The following is a 25,324-nucleotide window of genomic DNA, read 5'->3' on the forward strand; positions in this document are numbered from 1 at the left end:
CTATTATGTGTATTTACTTATAAATCATACAATCTATTGTTATGTAAATTTAGTTATAAAGCATATGTAAAACAGAATAACTTCAAAGAATAAGGTGAAAAATAAATATTAACAAGGAGCTATAATGTTCTTCCCGTAGCCCAATGGACTGGCCTGTCCCTCATAGAAACCACTAATCTAAAATGAAAGCAGCATCACCCAGATTGAAAATGGGAAAGCAACAGAAAAAAAGAAATCCTCCAGGCATCCTAGGAAGCATCTCTGCTATGGTTTGAATGTGCCCCCCCAAATTTCACGTTATAAATTTAATCTACAATGCTGCAGTACTGAAAGGCGAGGCTTTTAAAGAAGGGACTGTGTCATGAGGGCTCTGTCTTCACGAATGGATGAATGAATTAATGGGTTATCACGGGAGTGGAACTAGTGGCTTTATAAGAAGAGGAAGAGAAACCTGAGCTAAAGCACTCACAGCCCCTCACCATGTAATAACCCGCACCACCTCGGGACTCTGCAGAAAATGCCCACCAGCTAGAAGGCTCTCACCAGAGGTGGCCCTTTGACTCTGGACTTCTTGGCCCTCACGCCTATAAGAAAAAAATTCCTTTTTACAATAATTTATCCAGTTTCAGGTATTCTGTTATAAACAAAAGAAAATGGACTAATACACTCTTGCTGCCAATTGGGGGAAAGTGACAGTTAAGGTGATATATTCCCAAGTGCCTCAGACTCCAAATCACAAAGAATTTCAGAGCGAGCCAGATTCTCTCATGGTTCTGTTCAGAATGTTTCATAAGAATGACCTTGCAAACTGAAGCTTTCAACCTGGCCTGGGAACCTTAAGAATATTTTATGAACAATCAATCCACCGAACTGCACCTGTCAGCAGACCCCGGTTAACTGCACAGAGTACCTGAAAGCCATCCCCTGTCTGAATTCACACAGAAAACTTTTAGAGCCACGGCACTGTGATGGAGGGAAAGAAGGTGTGGACCACACCTCATGAGATGTGCAAACAACATGGCTCATGACAAACCCAGCAGAATGCTCAATCTTTAGAAACCCAAGATGGCTACAGCAATACAGACCATGACAATTTTTGGTAAGGACATGGAGAAACTGAAATCCTCAAACATTATTGGTGGGATTATAAAATAATGTAGCCACTCTGGAAAACAATCTAGCAGTTCCCCAAAATGTTTAACATAAAATTACCATATGTCTCATACATTCAGCTCCTAGGTATATACCCAAGAGATTTAAAAATCTACATCCACACAAAAACATGAATATTCATAACAGTATTATTCATAATAGTCAAAAAGTGAAAACAACATAATATCCAACAACTGACAAAATGTGGTATACCTACATAATGGAATATTATTTGGCAATAAAAAGAAATTAAGTACTGAATTCATGCTACAACGTGGGTAAACCTTGAAAACATTATGATACAAATGGAAGAAGTCAGATACCAAAGACCACATATCGCATGATTCTAGTTTATGAAATATCTGGAATAGAGACAGAAAAAAAAAATCCAAAGACAGCAAGTTGATTAGTTGGTTGCCAGAAGCTTTGGACAGAGAGGATGGGGAGTAACTGCTGATGGGTATAGAGTTCCCTTTTAATACAATGAAAATCTTCAAACACTAGACAGTGGTGATGAGCATACAACTCTGAATATACAAAAAAACCACTTAATTGTAAACTATAAAATGGTGAATTTTATAACTCATGATATATAAATTATATTTTAGTACCTTAATAATTATCATCATCATCATTATCATCATCATCATTACAATGGCTAATGAAATGTGGTATCCTGGACTGGATCCAAGAAAAGAAAAAAGACATTAGTGGAAACACTGATGAAATCCAAATAAAACCTGTAGTTTGATTAATAGTGTTGTACCAAGTCCCTTGTATTTCTTAAGTTTTGATAAATGTACCATGGCACTGTAAGAAGCTCACACTAAGGGAAGCTGGGTGAAATGTACATGGGAACTCTTAAATCACTTCAAAGTAAAAAAAAAAAATTTAATGATAATGAAAAAACTTAACATACTATACTTGAATACTACAGAATACAGTGCAGCTACAGGAAAGAATAATTTAGACCTACATGTATATTTAACATGGGAAGATGTCTGTGTTATGAAGTTTTTAAAAACAGCAAGCTGCAGAACAGTATGCAGAATAGTATGACTGCATTTCCTTAAAAACTTACATGCAATGTTTGTGAGCAATGTGTTTGTATGCTGGGGAATAGGATTTTCACCTTGGGCTTCACATGTGTGTATTAAGGAATTTTCACAACAGATACACATAAATTCGAAATTTAAGAAAGCCACAATTAAAACAATTTTTAACATTTTAAGTTTTAAACACACATATCCCCTCAGAAGCTGCCTGCCAGGAAGGAATGGAAGACAGTCTTCTGTCTAGGTTTTCTCTGCAAAGTGGAGAATGAATCCACATCCAAGAACATCCCTCTGCTCCACGGTTATTTCCACCTCTAGGAATAAGGGGTATCACATCAGTACCAGGCATTTCAAGAACAGCAAGTTACTGACAATCCTTGAAGTTAAATGCTGGGTGCATGGATTCATTAAAACATTCTCTCTACTTTTGTGTACGTTTCACAATTTTCTTTTTGTTTTCGCCCAAGCTAGAGTGCAGTGGCGCGATCTCAGCTCACCACAACCTCTGCCTCCCAGGTTCAAGCAATTCTCCTGCATCAGCCTCCCAAGTAGCCAGGATTACAGGAGCCTGCCACCACAACTGGCTAATTTTTGTTTTTTTTGTTTGTTTGTTTTTTGTGTTTTGAGACGGAGCCCAGGCTGGAGTGCAATGGCACGATCCTGGCTCACTGCAACCTCTGCCTCCTGGGTTCAAGTGATTTTCCTGCCTCAGCCTCCCGAGTAGCTGGGATTACAGGCATGGGCCACCATGCCCAGCTAATTTTTGTATTTTTAGCAGAGACAGGGTTTTGCCATGTTGGCCAGGTTGGTCTCGAACTCCTGGCCTCAGGTGATCCAACCACCTCGGCCTCCCAAAGTGCTGGGATTACAGGCATGAGCCACCACACGCAGCCCAATGTTTTGCAATTTTCATAATACAAAGTTGAAAAAGTAATAATAAAGGTATACTATAGGTTTGATCTTTAGAAACTATATCTCCTTAACTACCTGGGAACCAGGATTAAGACTCATGACTATTATTCTAGGCAAAGAATTACTACTGTAAAATCTATCTTAAAGCTTTCTTTTCTCTTACCTTAAATACTGCAGTGACTAAAAAAGAGTAGCTTGCAGTGCACTGATCTCATACGATCACTATTAGAAAAACTAGAGACAAAATGGAACAATAAGACAAATATTTAGATCAAAAGTATCCAATCTTTTGGTTTCCCTAGGCCCCACTGGAAGAAGAAATGTCTTGGGCCACACATAAAATACACTAACACTAATGACAGCTGATGAGCTTAAAAAAAAATTGCAAAAAAATTTCATAATGTTTTAACAAAGTTTGTGAATTTGTGTAGGACCACATTCAAAACTGTCCTGGGCTTCTGAGCCAGGGGTTGGAAACCTTGATTTAGATGGAGATAAGGGCAAGTGAGTCAGGCCTTCTGAAATACTGGGCTCTCTAAATAAAGGATGGTGCAAGTATTTAAAGGGGAAAGGAAATGCCAAAGTTAGAGTTGATACACTCACTATTCTCCCTTGAAGAAAATCATCAGTTTCCTACCTTTGAGTGGCTTATCTACAAGGGTTATTACATGTCTGCAGGCATCAGGATTGCAAAAATCAGAGGTAAAGCTGTTTTCATTAGGGAATCTGGCAATTTACAAGAAAGGGGCTCAAAACTACATTATGTTAGGGCTTAATGTTAGACAAGTATTCTTTGTCTTCTGTGGTTTTTCTTGAGATGAAATGTTTTACTTCTGACTGTGGGACTAATGTGTTCCTACAGGTTGCAACATAAAACGGATTTCTCACTATGAACCTTAGAGAAACAGCTTGACAATCTTTGTCCTGGACAGCAAGTCTTCTTAGAGCTGGGGCCAAGTGACTTCTCCTTGACTCCTCTGAGCAAAGCCCAGCGCCAGCCACAGCACAGGAACCTGGGCAGGCAGTCCACCCTCAGGGCCTGCCTGTGACCACTGCTAACCTGTGCGGAACAAACATGTGCTGAAGGATTTGAGTTCTTCAGAGGACTTGGGGAACTGACTTATAGAAAATGCTCAGCACGTGGCCTAGCACAAGGCATTCTTTAAATCTGAGTCTCCTCCCCATTCCATCTCTCATCCCTTTTCCTGAATTCTGTCTTTACTGATTTATCTAGTCATCCAGCAAAGAACAAATCACTCCAAAGCCATGACAGGCTACAACACAACTAGTTACTCCAACACTGAGAGTCCTATGACTCCCTCCATAAAATCAACTGAGTAGAATACTGAACAGCTCTTCTGAACATTTTCAGACAAATCTCTATTCTAGAAACCTTTCCACTGGGGAACTACCTCAAACTCTTCAATTATTTACTAGGAGATCAAACATAAGCACAGAAGCACAACAGGCAAATTTCACTTAAGCTTGGCTTTTGTCCTCTGGGGTTTTATTATTGTTCAGGTTTTGTCTTTCAATGATGTGGCCTGGTACAGAGAACCCTCTCCTGCTTTCGATTTTATTCTTTCAGAATCTGGAAAGGAGGTCAGCTGTCCTTTCCAGGCTTCAGTTCCTCCATCTGTAAAATGAAGTTGTTCTAAATTATTTTTCATGTCTCTTCTAAATTTAAAATGTTATATGCACACATCTTTTTGAGTCCCAATGACAGTCCCAACACAGGCCAAGCTAATCACGTGACTGACACTTCCCCAGAGGCACTTGGCTGAGGCTCCTGGGGTTGGGGATGGGCAATGTACCTGCCCCATCTGGTGTCACACTCCTAAGGTGTGCCCTCCCTCCCAACTGACCCCTTTCAAATCAAGTACAAGGCATCTCTTCTCAACTGGAGGCTTCCCCCAATGCCAAGTAGCCTTCACTTCTCTCTCCCTTCTCTGACCTCTAACCACAACACTCAAGGATAACATAAGTGGGCACTTGATTTTTCTCCACTTTTTTCATAGGATAGTTTATATTATGCTGAACAGGCTGTCAAGAAACGACCGCCTGATGATTTGTTGAAAGAGTCTACATCACATTGAAAAAGGAGATGTATAAAGCAACAAGACTTTGTCAAAGGCCAGTAGCACTTTTAAAGAGGAGGCAGAAAGAATCAGCAGAAACCTCATGTCTGGATTGAGCATCACCTCTTCCATTCCAGAATTTCACTCATGCTTTCAAACATACCATGCTTTTAGCCAAAAAATGAAAAATTAACATGCCGACACACTTAATGAATTCTCTTATTAAAAAATATGCTAACTTGTTCTAGCATAGAAAGCTTAGAGGTAGGATATGGAAATCAAAAATAAATTTGCTGCTTTAATTTCTTTTAACTTCCAACTTTTTGTAAAACAAAAAGGCCCTGAGAACTTGGAACAAATTCTCAGCTCTGGGGAAATTAGCTTCTTTTATATTACCTCCCACTCTTATCTAATCCTGATTTCAAATTTCAAAAGTAAGCAAAACCAAATTTGGGAGAAATAAACAAAAAAGAATGAGCAAGGGGTGAAAATGAAAGTTCATTGTATTCATTTGTTTTCATGCTGCTGATAAAGACATATCCAAGACTGGGCAATTTACAAAAGAAAGAGGTTTATTGGACTTACAGTTCCACATGGCTGGAGAGGCCTCACAATCATGGGGGAAGGCAAGGAGGAGCAAGTCATGTCTTACGTGGATGGCAACAGGCAAAGAGAGAGCTTGTGCAGGGAAACTCCCATTTTTAAAACCATCAGATCTTGTGAGACCTATTCACTATCACAAGAACAGCATGGGAAAGACCTGTCCCCATGATTCAATCATCTCCCACTAGGTCCCACTTGCAATGTGTGGGAATTATGAGATAAGATTTGGGTGGGAATACAAAGCCAAACCACATCATTCATGAGGTAATTATTCCAAATGAGGAATTCACTGATTAGCTAAAGGCAATGAGGAAAAACAAAAAAAGGTGGCGGCGGGGTAGGGAGCTAACATTTATCCATTCTTCTATAAATGTTCCATGTACGAACCATGTTTTAGGAATCTATTCTTTCTGAGACCCTGTCACTTAACCTCTCTGGCCCAGCACTGGACAATCTCATATCATGACTAAAATGGTTTGAGTTCTATAATTAAGGACTTCACCCTAACTTAGAACCACTGAAGAAGAATTATCAAAGATTTTAGTCAGAAAGGGCCTTGGTCATCACCCTGTATTGATTTACCCTGTTTTAGTGACAGATTTATCACCTGTACTCACATCCAAGTCCAAGGGGCTCTAAAGCCCAGCTCTCTCTATGGTACGATATTTTATTCCCAGGGGTGGAGAGAATTAGGAATCCAAGTCCAAAGCTATACCAGTTAAACACGGGAAACCAAGCACACATTTTCATCAACTTTTGCTCCTGACAGCCCATCAGAATGACAGAAGTACAGATTATCACCGAAACAACTCAGAGAAGTGAGGCATTGGTAGAACACAAGCAGCCATCAGCAAATAAATTTTTCCCCAAACACAATTTGAGAAGAAGAAAAGAGAGGGAAAGCCACAACCCAGAATATGCTCCAAAGGGGCTGCAGTTGGCATGAAAGCTTATCCTCCTGGTCCCTAAATAAGTTCTGGGTTCCTGTGGCAGCTATGGGGCAAGAAGCACTGGGACACTGGGATAAGCAGGAGAATGCAGGTGGACAAGGGGACTGCCACTGTCAGAGAAAAGAAGTTGTATACACAGGTGGGGAAAGACGAGGAGGAGGCCTATCAACAGGCCAGGCTGGGGCCCCTGCACAGAGGCTCAATTCTGTGATGAGATGAAAGTTCACATATTTGCCTCCCACCACTAGACTATGAATAAGGTAACCACATAATTTATCATCTGAAGTCAGGAACTTTGAGATTCAAAGGGCGTACTCTTATACCAGGACAAGAGGCATGAACAGGGAATGTCCCAGGCTACGTGGATATAGGGTCTCCCTAGGCATGAGTTCCTCAGGGCAGGAACTAGGTCTCATTCTGCTCTGTATTCACAAGACCAAGGAGGGTCTCAGTAAACATGCAGAATAACTCATGTGACTACTTTCTCCAGTAAATCAAATTTGCCAAAAGCAATCGGTATAGTATTTCTACCAGGGCTGCCTTGTTGCACAAGTCCAGGAGGCACTATCACAGCCCCATGCAGCAGCTGTGTTCACATAAAAGGAGATGCACTTTTTTTAAGAAATTTGTTTTTAAACCCTCTCTAAATGAGCTTTGAAATGAACTTCCTCCACATCCACAGCCAACCAAAGCTCTGCCCTGAAGCCACTTTCCCACTGAACTTGCTGTGACCTTCCATGCTCATCCCTCCCTTGGCAGGGACAGGCTGTCAGAGCCCTGAGAGCTGCAGAGACAGCTGATGCCCCATACTGTGAGCCCAGAGCCTTTTTTCACTAGGCCGCTCCAATTCTGGCATTATCTGACTTAGCAACTCAAATCAAAGATCATCAGGCATGATCAGCAGATCTGCATGCTCAAGTCTAGATGCTGACAGCAATACTGACAGTCAGAACACACATTAAGAGCAGAACGGCCCTAAAACTTGTTCTAAGTCCTTTCCCTGTTTGCATCAGTTTGCTGTAGTTATCCACAGGTAAGGTACTAAAACAAGGGCCCTAGGATTTATCTCTTTTCCGAAGAGAAAACACCCAAAAAGCACAAGTGAACTTTCTTGCAGGGTTGTTTCAGGGACGGCCAGAAACAAGCACACAGCAGGAGCTAGCACTGGGCTCTGAGACTGACAGCTGTGAGTCCTATTAATGGACCTCCAGCACCCTTCTCACATTTCACTGCTTTAATCCAAGCTACCAAACAATTCTAATGAGACCAGCCTATAAACTATTCAGGTGCCTCTGAAGCAATCATCTCAAAGTCCTCCCACAAGAGGGGGTAGATGTGTGGGTGCAAAAAGAGAAATGGGGACGAAAGCAGTGGGACCACAGGCCAGACCTCAAGGTGCCTTGCATTTCTTGGACCCCGTTATCAGATCACATGCTAGGTGTATAATGTGAATTCCCATGTTTATAAATCCTGTAATTACTTTGCAAACTGTATTGCTCTGTAATGTGTTCTGTGCTGCACCATATTTTGTGTTAAAAGTAATAGTCTGTAAAACGTAAGCAATAAGTGGAAACAACTTGGTCCTCTCTTGTTTTTCTTGAAAGACTGGGTTTTCAAGTAGAACTATAGCAGAGAACTAAAGAAATATTGTTTATAAGCAAAATGCCCAAGATGTCTGCAAACAGGACTTCCTTAGGTGAGCGAGATTCAAAGCTCCAAAACAGTAAGCATTGTAGACAAACTATAATCATTTTATTGAGGATTTACTGTGTGCAAAGCACAAGCTCATGTCTTAAATTACTTTCAGATGCCACTAGTAATTTTGATAATAACTACCTACCAATGCCAAATGCTCAAACTAGTACCCAACTAGTTCCCCTAACATTCCAGTAATCCATCCTCAATCTCATTACCTCTTACCCACTGGACTATTTTCTAGGAACCTCTTACTCATCCCCAAGTTGGCTGAGACACCACCATAATTTTTTTACTTTCCAAGACACAACTTGGAACACCCTAGAAGCCTGCTCAAAAACCTTCAATGAACCCTCAGAGCCTGCTTAAAAAACAGCTTAACAGCCCTGGTGTGGCCTTCACGCCCTCTGAGGCTGGGCACCAATCTCTCTCTAGGAAGCATAGTTCAGGGGAAGAGTTTGGGTTCTGAACACAGATAGCCCCATTTCAGATGCCAGCTCTACCACTTATCTTCACCTATTAAAGGGGAATTACAACAGCAACTAACAAGATGGTTGTGAGGATGAAGGAAAACAATTTGCCTAAAAGAGCTCTGCACAGGCCTAGTATGCAGAACTGTTCCATAAACGTTAGCTACTTTCATTATCCTCAGCTTCTTCCACTCACTGAACAAACAGTCGAGCACCGCTGTGGGCCAGGCACTGTCCTGTCCTGATGCTCAGCATACAGACTGAACAAAACAAAGCCCTTGCCCTCTGGGAGCTTCCCAAGAATAGGGGGAAGGAGAGTACCCCAGAGCTTCAGTACACATGATCCATGGGCCAAAGTGGAACTTCTCCAGACTGCTCCAGCATTGCTCGGCACTATTTCCACCTGGAAAGTTTACTTCTACATGACCAAATCCTGCCTATCTTATAAGATCCAGCTCCAGGGCCACCATTTCCAGAAGCTTTCGCTAGTTACCTCCCACAGAAGGGCAGCCTGGACTCAGCACTCTGCATCTCTTGTAACTGGTTGGCTGTAATGTACGACACGAGGTCCTCCCGTGCAAACGTCTCCTCTGCTATAATCACTAGTTTGAAGGCAGGGAATAGAATTTTTCTCCCTTTAACTCCCTGGCACATCTTATCTTCACATACACACAAACACAAAATGTGTGAAACGGGCAAATAAATCTCTACCCTAATTATCCTCTCATCATGCTATGACTAAGCCATGAAATCTAAAGACAAATCTGGACTACAAAGAGGTGTTAGGAAAGAAAAGAAATACCTTTGGAGCGCCACATAATACAAATACACGATATCAGAGTTTAGTGATTTATCTTGGCTAAGAAGTTATAAAGTCTCTTTCTTTATGTGACTACTTCTATCTTCCTAGATGGGGTTGGGAAGCTGGTAAAGTTTCGGTGGACTGGTTAACTTCTAAGATTTTCATGCTTTTACATCCATGAATCAAAAACAGAGAAAGATCAAGGCTTTATACACTTTCAGGATGTCATCAGAGTATCCAGTTTCTAACATGCATTGAACAGCACCAGTACAGAACAGAGGGAGGATTCATCCACTCGTCTAGAGGGCTTCAGACAGATGTGTACTGTGCTCTCAGACTCAGGGCTGAATCAATAATGGACAGGGGTGGCTAATGACGTCCAGCCAGAATTGGTTCAGTATGATTCAGAGTTCAGAGACAGCACATTACTGCTAAGCAGGGGTCAAAGAGACCTAGCTTCCACCCCTCCCGGAACCCTGGGGGCAATTGTAACCACTGGACCAGAGAGGGGTGGTCAGTGGCCTTCAGAGCCCCTGGTCCTCACACTGGGGCAGTCTAATCAGATAACAAATGACCCTCAGAAAACTCAGCCTTTGATTTCAAATAAGAAATGTGTTGTATTCTAGACGAGCAAAAGAACAAATGAAACAAACATTTCTTTAATAACCATAACCCAACTTTAGTGAAGACTGCCCAGCACTAAGCAAGTAACACGCTCACAACTGAAAGAAGGAATGAGTCTATCCGGAGAAAGGATTTTTCCACATAACTGAGGACTGATTCTAAATGTCTTAAGTTTCCATTTAGTTAATGGAAATCTCCTAAAATGTACTAGATATTTCAATTATAGAGAATACTCTAGAGTTTGGCTTTTCTTGAAGTCACCATTACAAATATAGCCATTGTGTGAAGCTCAAGTCCAAGAGTTGCTTTCCAGGGTCCTATAAAATAGAGCAAATCAGAGGAGAACTCTGTCATATCCAGGTCCTTGGTCTTCCCCTACCTTCACTTACTGCTGAGACACTGGGGAGACAAACTTCTCCACAAGTTTTAGTTAGGGAGGTGGCAGGAATAGTTTGGAGGAATAGAATTGATAGGGTAGCCTCTGGCTGTCCTGAGCTGGTGTCATATATCTGTTAAGCCAGAGGGATGTAAAAGTTGCTCTCAGGAAAGCCATGTGCCTTCCGGAGATATAAATGTTCAATCCCTCATTATGTTAATTTACTCAATAAATATTTATTGAGTGGCCACCATGTCCCAAGCACTGTTTTAGGCAATAGAGACGCTAATGACTTTGCCTGTCTTCCTAAACTGCCATAAGAGGTCTCTGCCTCAAGAATCTTACATTCAAGTAGAAGGAATTTCAAATAGTGGCAAAGTAATTGACTGAGGGTAGAGACTATTTTAGCTAGGGACGTCACAGAAGGTTTCTAAACAGTGAGTTTAAGCTGAGACCCAAATGATAGGATATAGCTCATAACACAGAGATCGGGAGAAAGCCAACTAACCATTAGAAAGCCCTCTGAAGCACAATCTAGAGACAGAGATCAGGGCGGCTGGAGGACAGTAAAAGACAGCAGGAATGAGAACAAGGCCAAGAGACAGCTAGGGCTAGGCCTTCGGCACAAGGTCATTAACCCTTTAAAGTAAATGTTTTAATTTTATTTTAAGTGTAATGGGAAGACACTGGAGAAGGTTAGGCTGACAAGTGATAGAACCCAATTTATGATGTTAAAAGATTTCTTACGGCCGGACGTGGTGGCTCACACCTGTAATCCCAGCACTTTGGGAGGCCAAGGAGGGCAAATCACCTGAGATCAGGAGTTTGAGACCAGCCTGACCAACATGATGAAATGGGATATAAAAAGTTAGCAGGGCGTGGTGGTGCGTGCCTGTAGTCCCAGCTACTCGGGAGGCTGAGGCAGGAGAATCGCTTGAACCCAGGAGGCCAAGGCTGCAGTGAGCCAAGATTGCAGCACTGCACTCCAGCCTGGCAAAGAGGGAGACTCTGTCTCAAAAAAAAAAAGATTACTTGGAATGCTGTGTGCACTGGAGGCTCACCATGGCCAACCTTGTTTGTAAACTGTGCTGATGTGACAATAGCACATAGTGGTTAAGAGTGCAGACTCTGGACTAGATTCTGCCACTTACTACTGGTGTAACTTTGAGCAAATTAATTCCTCTATGTGCCTCAGTTTCTGCATCTGTCAAAGGAAGATATTTGCTGTTTTAGTTTCTGTGTTAAGGATAAAAGTTAAAAAAGGGGGGCATCCAAGTGTCTAAATATCACTAATATGCACTCACTTCTTTCCAAGAGGCCTCTAGCATATCAGTCTGTTCTCTCCTCTCTCCCTCCTTCTTTCCCTCCCCACCCAACTCCCAAAGGAAAGAGACAGGTGGCACAATCTTGTTAACGAAGTAAAAAGTGCCTCTCCTTTTTATTGCTGGAGACTATCACTAGGGTGGGAGGAAGAAGTATGACCAAAATGTGATCTAGAATTCAGTGCACCACTAAGTAGAACACTGTTTCTTAAACATAAAGCCAATCTTCTCTTGTGTAAAAAGGTTTTCCTTCTCAAAGTGAAAAATATCTCTGTGGCTAAAGTCATTCATGCTGAGCATTTCAGCAACATGGTAGACTCCCACATGCCTGATTGTTCATTTTCTAACAGCTGCAGGCAGAATCTAGTGAACTCTTAATGATCCATGAGGCTTTCAGCCTACCATGCATCCTCTCTCACAGCAAGCATGTAGTTTTCAATATCAGGGAGCCCGGCTTCTCCCTTCAAAAGGCAAGAGAGGGTGAGTGTATCAATATTCCTTCTACAGTGTGAAAACTAGAATTTCTAGATTTCCTTCACTGGGACCCTGTATGATATAATACCATGAGTTTTCTATTTGGAATTTTCTGAGAACAAATCACAATTTAAATTCAAGTTCTTCAATTAGTAACAAAGGTTAGGATGGATGCCAAGGCTTTCATCCAACTAAAACTCATTTTCTGGATTTACTGGATATGAAGGAAACAAGGAATATTCCTGGCTGATTCCCAGGTGTCCCCTCCCACTCGCTTACCCCTCCCCACTTCATTCTCATGAGAAATGAAAGTCACCCACGGGATTTGGATGCCCATTAGAATCTTCCTGCCTTACAGAACCATGGCTACAAATTCATCCCTCTCATAAAGCTATACTGAATTGGGATATGACTATAAGAGAGGAAATTGTCACAGGGATTTCTGTTTTTTTAATGACAAGGCACATTAAGCAAAAAACACAAAAGGCCACCTCAAATACAAGCAAGCAGGAGACACTTATTATGCAGCTTAATATAATTAAATTTATTTATTTAGTTTTTGGTTTTTTTCTTTTGGGATGGGTCTCACTCTGTCACCCAGGCTGGAGTACAGTAGTGTGATCTTGGCTCACCACAATCTCTGCCTCCCAGGCTCAAGCAATCCTCCCACCTCGGCCTCCCAAGTAGCTGGGATTGTAGGTGTGTGCCACCATGCCCAGCTAGTTTTTTGATTTGTTTTGTTTTGTTTTGCTTTGGTAGAGATGGGCTTTCACCATGTTGCCCAAGCTAATATAATTAAATTTCATAAGCAGTTACTATATGCTGGGTACTGCTGTGCAAGCAACGGGTTCAGACACACAAAGAAAAATCAAACTATGGCCCTCTTCTGCAAAAATATCAATATTATAGTTGAAACAAGTAGCAAATGGCAACAACACAAAGCAAAACATGGTCTGGCAAAGTGTGGTGTGGGCTCAGTGGTATGGGAGCAAGCAATTTTAACTGGGAAAAATTAGCACAGGCTTCACAGGAGCCATACCATTTAAGCTGAGTCTTCAATCATGAAAAGAAGTTTCACAAGGCCAACAAGAGGCAATCCATACCGAGGAAAGAGAATGGGGTGGCAGGAGGATGCACCAAATCAGTGTGGCTACAGTATGGAGGGAACGTGGTGGAAGAAAAGCAAAGAATGGCATGTTTAGGACAAAAATATTAGAGGGTGTTGAGTATCATGCTCAGGTGTTTGGGCTTTCTTGTTTAGGCAGCAGAGAACTCAAGGCTTCGGAGCAGGGATGGACAAACAAATCTGTTTTAGAAAGCTCACCTGTAAAAGATGTAGTACTGATTACAAAAAAAAAAAGAGAGAGGAAGAAAGAAAGCCACTTGGCCTAGGGAGGGAAACTAGTTGGAAAGCAGCTTCAAAAGGCTAAGGAAGAGAAAAATGGCATCTGATTCCTATAGCAGAGGCAGAATTAGAAGAAAAAAAGGCAGAGGTCTGACAGGTAGACACTTCAGATAAAATAATAGGGCCAGGCGCAGTGGCTCATGCCTGTAATCCCAGCACTTTGGGAGGCCAAGGCGGGTGGATCACGAGATCAGGAGATCGAGACGATCCTGGCTAACACGGTGAAACCCCGTCTCTACTAAAAATACAAAAAATTAGCAGGGCATGGTGGCGGGCACCTGTAGTCCCAGCTACTCAGGATGCTGAGGCAGGAGAATGGCATGAACCCGGGACGCGGAGATTGCAGTGAGCCGAGGTTGCACCAATGCACTCCAGCCTGGGCAGCAGAGCGAGACTCCTTCTCAAAAAATAAAAAAGACGACATTTTCTTCATGCTTTTCTGCCATTTTCAAATAGGCACACATTCTTAAGGGTGGGGGGGACAAAAAATTATTATTTCAGAGAAAAAAACTACTAAAATTTATTGACAACTGGATTGTGTGTGCTGGGAAAGAGGAACATTTGAAACATAAAGAGTTAAAAGTTAGGACCGAGGGCAGTGGCTCACGCACCTGTAATCCCAGAATTTTGGGAGGCTGAGGAGGGCAGATCACCTGAGCTCAGAAGTTTGAGACTAGCCTGGGCAACATGGTGAAACCACGTTTCTACCAAAAATATATATATGATAATTTTTTTTTAAGTTAAAAGTTAACCCCAGACTTCCATTGATGGTGACTGGTCATGCCTCAAACCTAAACAAGAACAAAGGAGGAAAGGAAGCATAGTTCATCCACCATCTTCTTCTGACCAATGAGAAAAGGGAAAGGGTATTAAATCTAGCTTGGGTCCCACTAACCCAGAGCTGAACTAAAATTACTCTGCAGTGCTCATGAAAACAGTTTTGTTTTGTTTTTAAGATGGAGTCTCGTCCTGTCGCCCAGGCTAGAGTGCAGTGGTACAATCTCAGCTCACTGCAACCTCCACCTCCCGGGTTCAAGCAATTCTCCTGCCTTGGCCTCTCTAGTAGCTAAGATTACAGGTGCCTGCCACCACGCCCAGCTAGTTTTTGTATTTTTAGTAGAGATGGGGTTTTGCCATGTTGCCCAGGCTGGTCTTGAACTCCTGACCTCAGGTGATTCACCCACCTCAGCCTCCCCAAGTGCTGGGATTACAGGCGTGAGCCACCGCGCCCAGCTGAAAACACAGTTTTCTAAGCAAAATAAATATAAACAAAGGAACGTGTAAACAATGTGACAGCAGGATATGCTTAAGAAACAGTTTCAAGTTTAAAGTCCTTTTTTAAGTGTCTTTAGCACGCCAAGAATGTATATGCTAATAAATTAGTTCTCTAATTTTTAAGACAACTGTTAAATAACAATATTGCACTATTTGGCCCAAAAGTATCATGGTCTGGATTACCACATTCACTACAGTTAGATCATATTTCTTCATTGTCTAAGTTAATTCTCTCATATTAATTGATATTTGTTCCTATTACCCTGTCACTTCAAATCTGAAATGTTGAATTAGGAGACTTTTCAGTTCAAAAGCCAATAGACACACAATTTAAGTACAAATAAAACTGAATACATGTGAGTAAAATTATTGGTTTGTATCAGTATCAATATCCTGGTTGTGATTTGATACCATAGTTTGGCCAAATGTTACCATTTTGGGAAACTGGGCATTTATAAAAAGGATCTCTCTATATTTTTCCTTATAACTGCATGTGAATCTATGATTACCTCAACTTTAAAAGGGAGAAGGTAGCCTAAAAAAACAAAACAAAACAAAAGCTAATGGGCAACTGTGTCCTGTGAAACCCTATTTTCTCTTACCACACATAGACCAGCAACAAAAACGTAAGCTTTGCAGAGAGTAGAGTGGTGGTTACCAGGGTGCCTGGGGGATTCCGCTGGGGAGACACAAAATTTCAGTTAGACAAGAGGAATAAGTTTAAGGGATCTATTGTACAATATGGTAACTATAGCTATTAATAATGTACTGTATTCTTAAAAATCACTGATGGCCCGAGGCGGGCAGATCACAAGGTCAGGAGATCGAGACTATCCTGGCTAACACAGTGAAACCCCGTCTCTACTAAAAATAGAAAAATTAGCTGGGTGTGTTGGCGGGTGCCTATAGTCCCAGTTACTCGGGAGGCTGAGTCAGGAGAATGGCATGAACCCAGGAGGCAGAGCTTGCAGTGAGCTGAGATTGTGCCACTGCACTCCAGCCTGGGCGACAGAGCCAGACTCCATCTCAAAAAAAAAAAAAAAAATCACTGATGGCTGGGCACCGTGGCTCACACCTGTAATCCTAGCACTTTGGGAGGCCAAGGTGGGTGGATCACCTGAGGTCAGGAGTTCCAGACCAGCCTGGCCAACGTGGTGAAACCCTGTCTCCACTAAAAATACAAAAATTAGCTGAGCGTGGTGGCACACGCCTGTAATCCCAGCTACTTGGGAGGCTGAGGCAGGAGAATCACTTGAACCAGGGAAGTGGAGGTGGCAGTGAGCCAAGATTGTGCCACTGCACTCCAGCCTGGGTGACAGAGCAAGACTCCATATCAAAAAAAAAAAAAAAAAACAAAAACCGGGTGCGGTGGCTCACGCCTGTAATCCCAGCACTTTGGGAGGCCGAGGCAGGCGGATCACAAGGTCAGGAGTTCAAGACCAGCCTGGCCAACATGATGAAACCCTGTCTCTACTAGAAATACAAAAACTAGCTGGGCGTGGTGGCATGTGCCTATAATCCAAGCTACTCAGGAGGCTGAGGCAGCAGAATTGCTTGAACCAGGACCCAGGAATTGGAGGTTGCAGTGAGCCGAGATCGTGCCACTGCACTCCAACTTGGGCTACAGAGGGAGATTCTGTCTCAAAGAAAAAAAAAGAAACCACTGAGAGATTTTAAATCTTCTCACCATAAAAAAAAAACTATGTGAGGTAACGCATATACTAATTAGCTCGATTTAGCCATTCCACAATATTACATATTTCAAAGCATCATGTTGTACATAATATATACAATTTCTGTCAATTAAAAATACATTTCTTTTTTTTCCTTTGAGACAAGTCTCCCTCTGTCTCCCAGGCTGGAGTGCAGTGGCGCGATCTCGGCTCACTGCAACCTCCGCCTCCCAGGTTCAAGCAATTCTCCTGCCTCAGCCTCCTGAGTAGCTAGGATTAGACGTGCACCACCATGCCCGGCTAATTTTTTTTTTAGTAGAGACAGGGTTTCACCGTGTTGGCCAGGCTGGTCTTAAACTTCCGACCTCAGATAATCTGCCTGCCTTGGCCTCCCAAAGTGCTGGGATTACAGGGGTGAGCCACCATACCCAGCTACATTAATTTTTTAATAAAAAACTTTTTTCAAAAAAGGGAGGCTTTAGAGCTAATTGCTTATAAGTAAAAGCATGAAAATGTATCAGATTCTGAAGCTCACACACCACAAAGTAAAAGGGAGAAAGTAAGAGAAGATTCATGGATAATAAGCTTTACACAGTCCTGTAAAGAGGTATGGCAGGTAGTATTATTTCTCTCCATCGTACAAACCAGGAAGCAAAGGCTCAGTGACGTAAAGTGGTCTGCCCAAGTCTACGCACCAGAGTAAAGCAAGTGTTCACAACTCAATATAAAAACATGAAAACGAAAAGTAATTTCCTACTAGGAGAAGAGTGGGTGAGGAGAGGCAGAAAGGAGGAGGACGGATAAATACACCTAAGATAACATTACTTAAGTGGCATAATCTCTAAAGCATCGGTGTAAATATCCAGGCTCAAGACCTGTTACAGGGCTTCACATTATGAGCTATAGAGAAGGAGACACAGTTAAATGTGTCCCTACCCAACAACAGAGGGTGCAGATTCTCACCCCCAACTAAAAAATGACTTACGTAGCTAAGAGCATGACACAGGCCAAAGCTAACCTTTGAATCCCTGACGGATAGGCCTCTATAATAGCAAGGTATTACACAACCTGGCCTGCAATTATTATTTGTATTTGACCATCAAAAAATCTTGTGGAATACCATGAACAGGAAGGGTTAGAGGTCTTTTCATTTATTAGACAGATTTTACTGAGTAACAACTATGTGCCCAGGCACTAAGCAAGGTGTTACAGGTAAAATTTTTTTTTTAAAAAAAGGGGGTAGATATGGGGTGAGAGGTACAGACATTAATCAAATTATCACAACATAAATTAAGCCATGGTAAATGTTACAAGGTAAAGCTTTGAAGGCATACAAAATGGATGCAGGAATGCCCAGCAGGAACAGATCTAGGTTATGGGATTTCAAAAACAAAACACATCATCTAGTGAGGAAAGCTCATCATCTAGTGAGGAAGACTTGTACAAAGAGGTAGCTTGAGTATAGTGCAATACCAGGTAAAAGTGCTTCCTTGTGTTCGAAGCCTGACAAGATGTTCTAGGCTTATCTATCTCAGACACTTCCTGCTTAGATTTGAAACCAGCCACTTCTCCAAGGAGCCCCAATTCCTTTCACTGGGAATTGGCCCTTTCAGATTAGCTCTGTGCCCTCTGACATGGCTTGAAAGGGCTCCTACTGGCTAATATGAGACCCCAAGAATATGCTCAAATGAAATGGAACACCAAGTATGTTTAAATTCATGAGTTATATTAATACTAAAAAGATCCTCTTTCTTTTGGAGACTGGTAGACACTAACTCATGTTCTGAAAATCTAAGGAAAGAATAAAGCAGTCAAACTACCTTTCCTATACAGAATGCATTTCAGAATAATCAACTAGTTGAAGAGGCAAAGTTCTTTATAGAAGAATCACAGCTAATAAATAATAGAACTGAAGGAAATGACAGAATTAGAAAATGTCCTATTTTTGTGACAATTGAGGATAACTGAACACAAACTAATTAGTGGTGACATTAAGGGACTGGCGGTAATTTTGTTAGGCGTGATAATGGTACCATGGTTATTTTTTAAGACCTTATTACGGATACATATTAAAATATTTATAGGTAAAATGATAGGACACGTGGAATGTGCTTTAAAATTCTCCAGGGGACTGGGGGGCAGCAGAGGGAAGACAGATGAAACAAAAGCAGCAGAACACTGAGAGTTGTTGAAGCTGGATGATGAGTATGGAGGTTCATTGTTTCATTTTCTTTACTCTTACGTATCTTTAAAAAAAAAAAAAATCCATGACAAAAGGTTGGGAAAAAAGATCCACCTTTATGCATGGGATAATCATCACAATGCACACTTCAAATGGCAAAAACGTGCAAATGACCTAAATCTCTATCAATAGGAGACAAATTAAGTAGATCATAACACATAAAAAGGAATCCTATGAGGCCATAAAAATGACCATATTTCAACAAGAAAACCTATCTGGCTAACTTTTTACACTGAGTAAAACAAAACAACAAACAGGCTATAGAATAGCATATATGGTGAAATTCTAATGTGATATATGCACAGAGAAATGCTGGGAAGGCTGTTCCCCACAGTGTGGGCATCTCTGGGAGGTAATGTATTAGGCAAGTTATTTTCCTCACTGTTCTGTGGCAACTTCTCATAAAGACACTGACCCACGTAATTCTTTGGGAGGCAACAGGGTTCAAGTTTATTTTTAGTTTCCTCAAATTTAAAATGAGGTTGAAAATATGGTTCTAGTGGTGATTTAATGAATAAAATACTGAAAGCAATTATCACAAGATCTGGCATATAACTAGATATTCAAAACATGTTAGAGGCCAGGTGCAGTGGTGCATGCCTGTGATCCTAGCACTTTGGGAGCCCAAGACAGGAGAAGTGCTTGAGTCCAGGAGTTCAAGAGTACCCTGGGCAACACAGACGACCCTATCTCTACAAAAATTTCATTGACTGATTGATTGATTAATTGACTGATTGAGAAAGAGTCTCACTCTGTCACCCAGGCTAGAGGGCAGTGGTATGATCTCTGCTCACTGCAACCTCTCCCTTCTGGGCTCAAGCGATCCTCCCACCCCAACCTCCTGAGTAACTGGAGTTATGGGCACCTGCCACCACGTCCGGCTAATTTTTAAATTTTTTATAGAGATAGGGTTTCACCATGTTGCTCGGGCTGGTCTCGAACTCATTAGCTCACGCAATCCGCCCACCTCGGCATCCCAAAGTGCAAGGATTACACAGGCATGAGCCACCACACCCTGCCGCTAGAAAAGATGAAAAACAAAGAAACAAAGAAACAAACAAACAAACAAAAAACCTGCATGCCTGCAGTCCCAGCTACTCAGGAAGCTGAGGTGAGAGGATCACTTAAGGCCAGGAGTTTGAGGCTGTAGTGAGATATGATTACACCACTGCACTCCAGCCTGGACAACACAGTGAGAGACTATCTCCAAAAAAAAAAAAAAAAAAAAAAAAGGGCCAGGTGCAGTGGCTCATGCCTGTAATCCCAACACTTTGGGAGGCCGAGGCTGGCGGATCACAAGGTCAGGAGATCGAGACCATCCTGGCCAACACGGTGAAACCCCATCTCTACTAAAAATACAAAAATTAGCGGAGTGTGGTGGTGCATGCCTGTAGTCCCAGCTACTTGGGAGGCTGAGGCAGGAGAATCACTTGAACCAGGGAGGCGGAGGTTGCAGTGAGCCGAGATTGCACCACTGCACTCAAGCCTGGCAACAGAGCAAGACTCCGTCTCAAAAAAAAAAAAAAAAAGTTAGACCTCTTTTTGCTTTTTTACATTCCAAAACCAAAATAAAGCAATTGCTTCTTAAAAGCACAAGCATTTGGAAGTGACAGTAAGAGGAATTAAAAACACACACACACAAAAAAAAACTTCACTCTGTAAGTCTAAAACTCATACACTTATACACTTTCCCTCTTCCTCCATATAAATACCATAAAATTCATCCTGTTAAAGTGTACAATTCAGTAATTTAACTATTTGTTGAAACCTAATATACATTTGTTTCATTTTAAAGACAGAATTCAGTCTTCCTTAATACAGCCCCATAATGTATCTTCTGAAACAAATCTTTGAAAATACAGTATTATCCATGTCCTTAGACCGTCACATCATAACAACATTTTAGAGGTGAGCCTAGTCATTTATTCATATGGTTTTTTTACTCTCACATCAAATGCCTGTGAAAATTCAGCATTCTCTCAGAACCAGGCTTCTCCGTAATTTACTATGAAGAAGACAGAGGGGCTGGGGGGATCTGAAGGAGCTTTCTCACATGTATGGGATTCCTTCACATATGGAATCCCTTCCCCTCTTCTAGCTCACTTGTTAAAAATTGGTGTTTCATGTGCATACCATAAACTTCATCCTTTTAAAGTGTACAACTCCGTAATTTACAGTATATGCACAGGTTGTGCAGCCATCACCACTAATTCTAAAATATCTTCATCATCTCAAAAGAAACCGTTATCCATTAGCAGCTGCTCCCGATCCCTCCTCCTCTCAGTCCCTGGCAACCACTAATGCAATTCTCATTCTCCCTAAGGCTGTTTTGTTGGTGAAGGGGAGAGGAAGATGCAAGACATTCATTCTTGAGTCAAAGGATCTCCATTCTATGAGGTTTGTAATATACAAAGAACATGCTTTAACTCCACATGTACCATTATGCATTGAGGAAGATAAATAAGCATCTTCCTCTTGAATTAATCCTTCTACTATAAAGCAGAAATCAAACCAAACTGCCAGATTTGGCTTACTCTGACTGCATTGCTAATAAACTCTGAACATTTGGCATGGCATATTTCATAATCTTCTATCTCAAAAGTCTGAGGCAAAAATAACAAAAAAAGAAAATCTGCAGCAATTACCACGAAAAAATAAACTAAATGTAAAAAGTAGTAAATGAAGTCATTAAAACAAGCTAAATTCATACCAGTGTTTGCTCATTTCACTGGCAAAATTCATCGAAACAGTTCAAGTATTAAATGTAGTAAGAGATTTTCTACAGATTTTTATTTTTGTCTTTTTAGAGCAACCAGATTAAAATTTAAGGGAAAAAAGTGGGACTGATGCAGTGGAATATGCTTTAGTGGATCCCTGATCCTAACTGTAATATTGCTTGGGTATTGTCCATATATTAAAGATGCAAAGTTACTTTATTGTGAGCAGAATTCCAAAAGAAAAATTAAGAAATCACTGTGAGGTACCAGTGATCTTCCCTAATTTCAGAACTGCAACTGTATACCTAACAAGGGCATTACTTTTTACAACAAATCTTTTATTTCTTCATGTAGCAGACAACATAAATAATGTATCATCTTTAATCATATCCTGACAAATACCTTCTCAAAAGCACTTGTAGAAGAAAATTTTAAAATTTCTCTTTATAAAATAATGTATGCCTATTGCGAGGTATTTTAAAAATGCAAGACAGAAATATAACCTATCTATAATTTTATCAATTAGATTAACACCATTAACATTTTCATTTCTTTCCAGATCATTTTTCTACACATTTGTACAAAGTTGAGCCTTTGCTGTATTTAAATTTTGCACTTGCCTTTTTCATTTTACATTATTCCATTAGCATGTCCCCCAAATCACTGAAAACTCTTTATAAACTACACTTGCTGCAGAGTGCACCATCGCCTGGATAAACATGTAAATATTTGTACACATTTATCTTATATTCTCCTAGTGCTGGGTAGTTAAGATTTCCCAATTTGAAAGCCATTATTTCTTATTTCAAGTGTTTTTTAAATCAATCATGCACATATTTTTTTTCTTGGACACACAACGCATGCACAGAGGCCATATAATTTGGTTCCAAAGGACTTGGATATTTTCAAGCCATTGTGATGCAGAGTAACTGCCAAAAACTACATTCCTGTCTGAGAAAAAATATCGTTCATATCATTAGGACTTTGGAATAAACAAACAATGACCCATACATTCTTTAAAAACCACTTAGAAATTAAAGGCCATGCCCTCAATCAGTCAAAAAGCATTCTCTCCTATCTTAAACGTGCAATCAGACCCCTCTGCTGACCTTTAATACCAAAAACGTGAGGAAGGAAGATTCACTTTGTTTACCTGTGTGTCATTTTGGTAATGGCTATCTTATATAGCTGACCTTGAATTTCTAATTTAGACTCTATTCACAGGCAGACCAGCATTCCACAAAGGTCACTCTGCAGAGCAAAGGATCCCAGGAACTATAATACAGTACCCTAGAATCGTTTCTCTGCCTCCCAAAAGGCCTTTTGTTCTTTTTTTTTTTTTTTTTTTTTTTTTGAGATGGAGTCTCGCTCTGTCGCCCAGGCCGGACTGCGGACTGCAGTGGCGCAATCTCGGCTCACTGCAAGCTCCGCTTCCCGGGTTCACGCCATTCTCCTGCCTCAGCCTCCCGAGTAGCTGGGACTACAGGCGCCCGCCACCACGCCCGGCTAATTTTTTGTATTTTTAGTAGAGACGGGGTTTCACCTTGTTAGCCAGGATGGTCTCGATCTCCTGACCTCATGATCCACCCGCCTCGGCCTCCCAAAGTGCTGGGATTACAGGCATGAGCCACCGCGCCCGGCCCCTTTTGTTCTTAAGTAAGAAATAAATAAGGCCAGGAATGGTGGCTCAAGCCTATAATCCCAACACTTTGGAAGGTCAAGACAGGAGGATTGCTTGAGCCGAGGAGTTTGAGACCAGCCTGGGCAACATGGTGAGACCCCATCTCTAAAAACAATTTTAAAATTAGCTGATCAGGGTGGCGAATGCCTATACTCCCAGCTACTTGGAAGGCTGAGTTAGGAAGATTGCTTGAGCCCGGAAGGCAGAAGTTGCAGTGAGCCAAGATCGTGCCACTGCACTCCCAACTGGACGACAAAGCGAGATACTGTCTCAAAAAAGAAAAGAAAAGTCCAGGCACAGTGGCTCATGACCGTAATCCCAGCACTTTGGGAGGCCCAGGCGGGCGGATCACTTGAGGCCAGGAGTTCAAGACCAGCCTGTCCCAACTGAAAACACAAAAATTAGCCAGGTGTGGTGGCAGGTGTCTGTAATCCCAGCTACGTGGGAGGCTGAGGCAGGAGAATCATCTGAACCCAGGAGATGGAGGTGGCAGTGAGCCAAGATCGTGCCACTCTACTCCAGCCTGGGCGACAGATAATCTGTAGAAAGAAAGAAGAAAGGAAGGAAAAAAAGGAAAAAAGAAAGGAAGAAAAAAAGAAAAAGGGAAGTGAGGGAGCAGAGGGAGGGAAGGAGGACAGGACAGGACAGAACAGGACAGGAAAGGGAGAGAGAGAGAGAGAGAAAGAGAAAGGGAGAGAGAGAGAAAGAGAAAGGGAGAGAGAGAGAAAGAGGAGGAGAGAGAGAGAGAAAGAAAGACAAAGACAGAAAGATGGATGGATGGATGAATGGATGGAAGGAAGGAAGGAAAAGAGAGAAAAAGAAGGGGGGAAGGAGGAAGAGAGAGAAAGAAAGATACATGTTTTTGGAAGGAAGGAAAGAAGGGAGGGAGAAAGAAAGAGAGGAGAGAGAGAAAGAAAGACAGAAAGAAAGGCAGAAAAGAGGGAAAGACAGAAAGGAACAAAGACAGGAAGACAGAAAGCAGGGAGGGAGGGAAGAGAAAAGGAAAGGGAAAGGGAAAGGGGAAGGGAGAGAGAGGGAGAGAGAGGGAGAAAGTCTTCTTCCTAAACTGGCTCTAAGGTAGTCAAAATTATTCTTCTGGCTGTTAAAATGCTAGTCCACCTAAAATCCTTACACCTTCAAAAGGTGTTTTTCTTTTCTTTCTTTCTTTCTTCCTTTTTTTTTTTTTAACTGAGACAGAGTCTTGCTCTGTCGCCCTGGCTGGAGTACAGTGGCGCGATCTCAGCTCTCTGCAACCTCTGCCTCCCAGGTTCAAAGCAATGCTCTTGCCTCAGCTTCCCAAGCAGCTGGGACTACAGGTGCCTGCCACCACACCTGGCTAATTTTTGTATTTTTAGTAGATACGGGGTTTCACCATGTTGGCAAGGCTGGCCTCAAACTCCTGACCTCAAGTGATCCACCCGCCTCAGCCTCCCAAAGTGCTAGCATTACAGGCATGAACCACCGTGCCCAGCCAAAGGTGTTTCACTTATTCATCTGCGAATACCAAGCCAGTGCCCAGTTACTATAAGGGACCGTTGTTGCTCTTCCAAGCATCTGCTGAACTTTTTCTTTTATTCCCTCCATTGAAAATTTAAATGTACCTACCCCCTACTATTAGTCCAGTAGGAAATCTAAGACTTGTTTTATTTTTCTTACCATACTCCCTAAACAATGTGATTACAAAGCAAAGTTATACCTATTAGCCAGAGGTTGCATGAAGGACCATTCAAATTCCAGTTAAATGCTATGTGGTTTAGAGACTATTACTTAACCCGGAGGAGTCCCAGAGCTAACTAACCTCTGGGAATTGTGATAAAA

General features: G+C 41.7%; 1 protein-coding gene across 36 annotated transcripts in view, besides 1 other annotated feature; it reads right to left on the reverse strand.

Moving 5' to 3' along the window:
- Positions 1–25,324, reverse strand: part of CLASP1 (cytoplasmic linker associated protein 1) — a 311,687-nt gene that overhangs the window by 220,331 nt on the left and 66,032 nt on the right. The gene's annotated exons all lie outside the window — the stretch shown is intronic.
- Positions 542–591: an enhancer, noted in NCBI's record as "active region_16466". NCBI's record gives its function as "activates an Ori minimal core promoter by ATAC-STARR-seq in GM12878 lymphoblastoid cells {active_cell/tissue: GM12878}" and the evidence as "EXISTENCE:reporter gene assay evidence [ECO:0000049][PMID:35858748]".

The sequence above is a fragment of the Homo sapiens genome, chromosome 2, assembly GCF_000001405.40.
Source record: "Homo sapiens chromosome 2, GRCh38.p14 Primary Assembly".
NCBI lineage: Eukaryota > Metazoa > Chordata > Mammalia > Primates > Hominidae > Homo > Homo sapiens.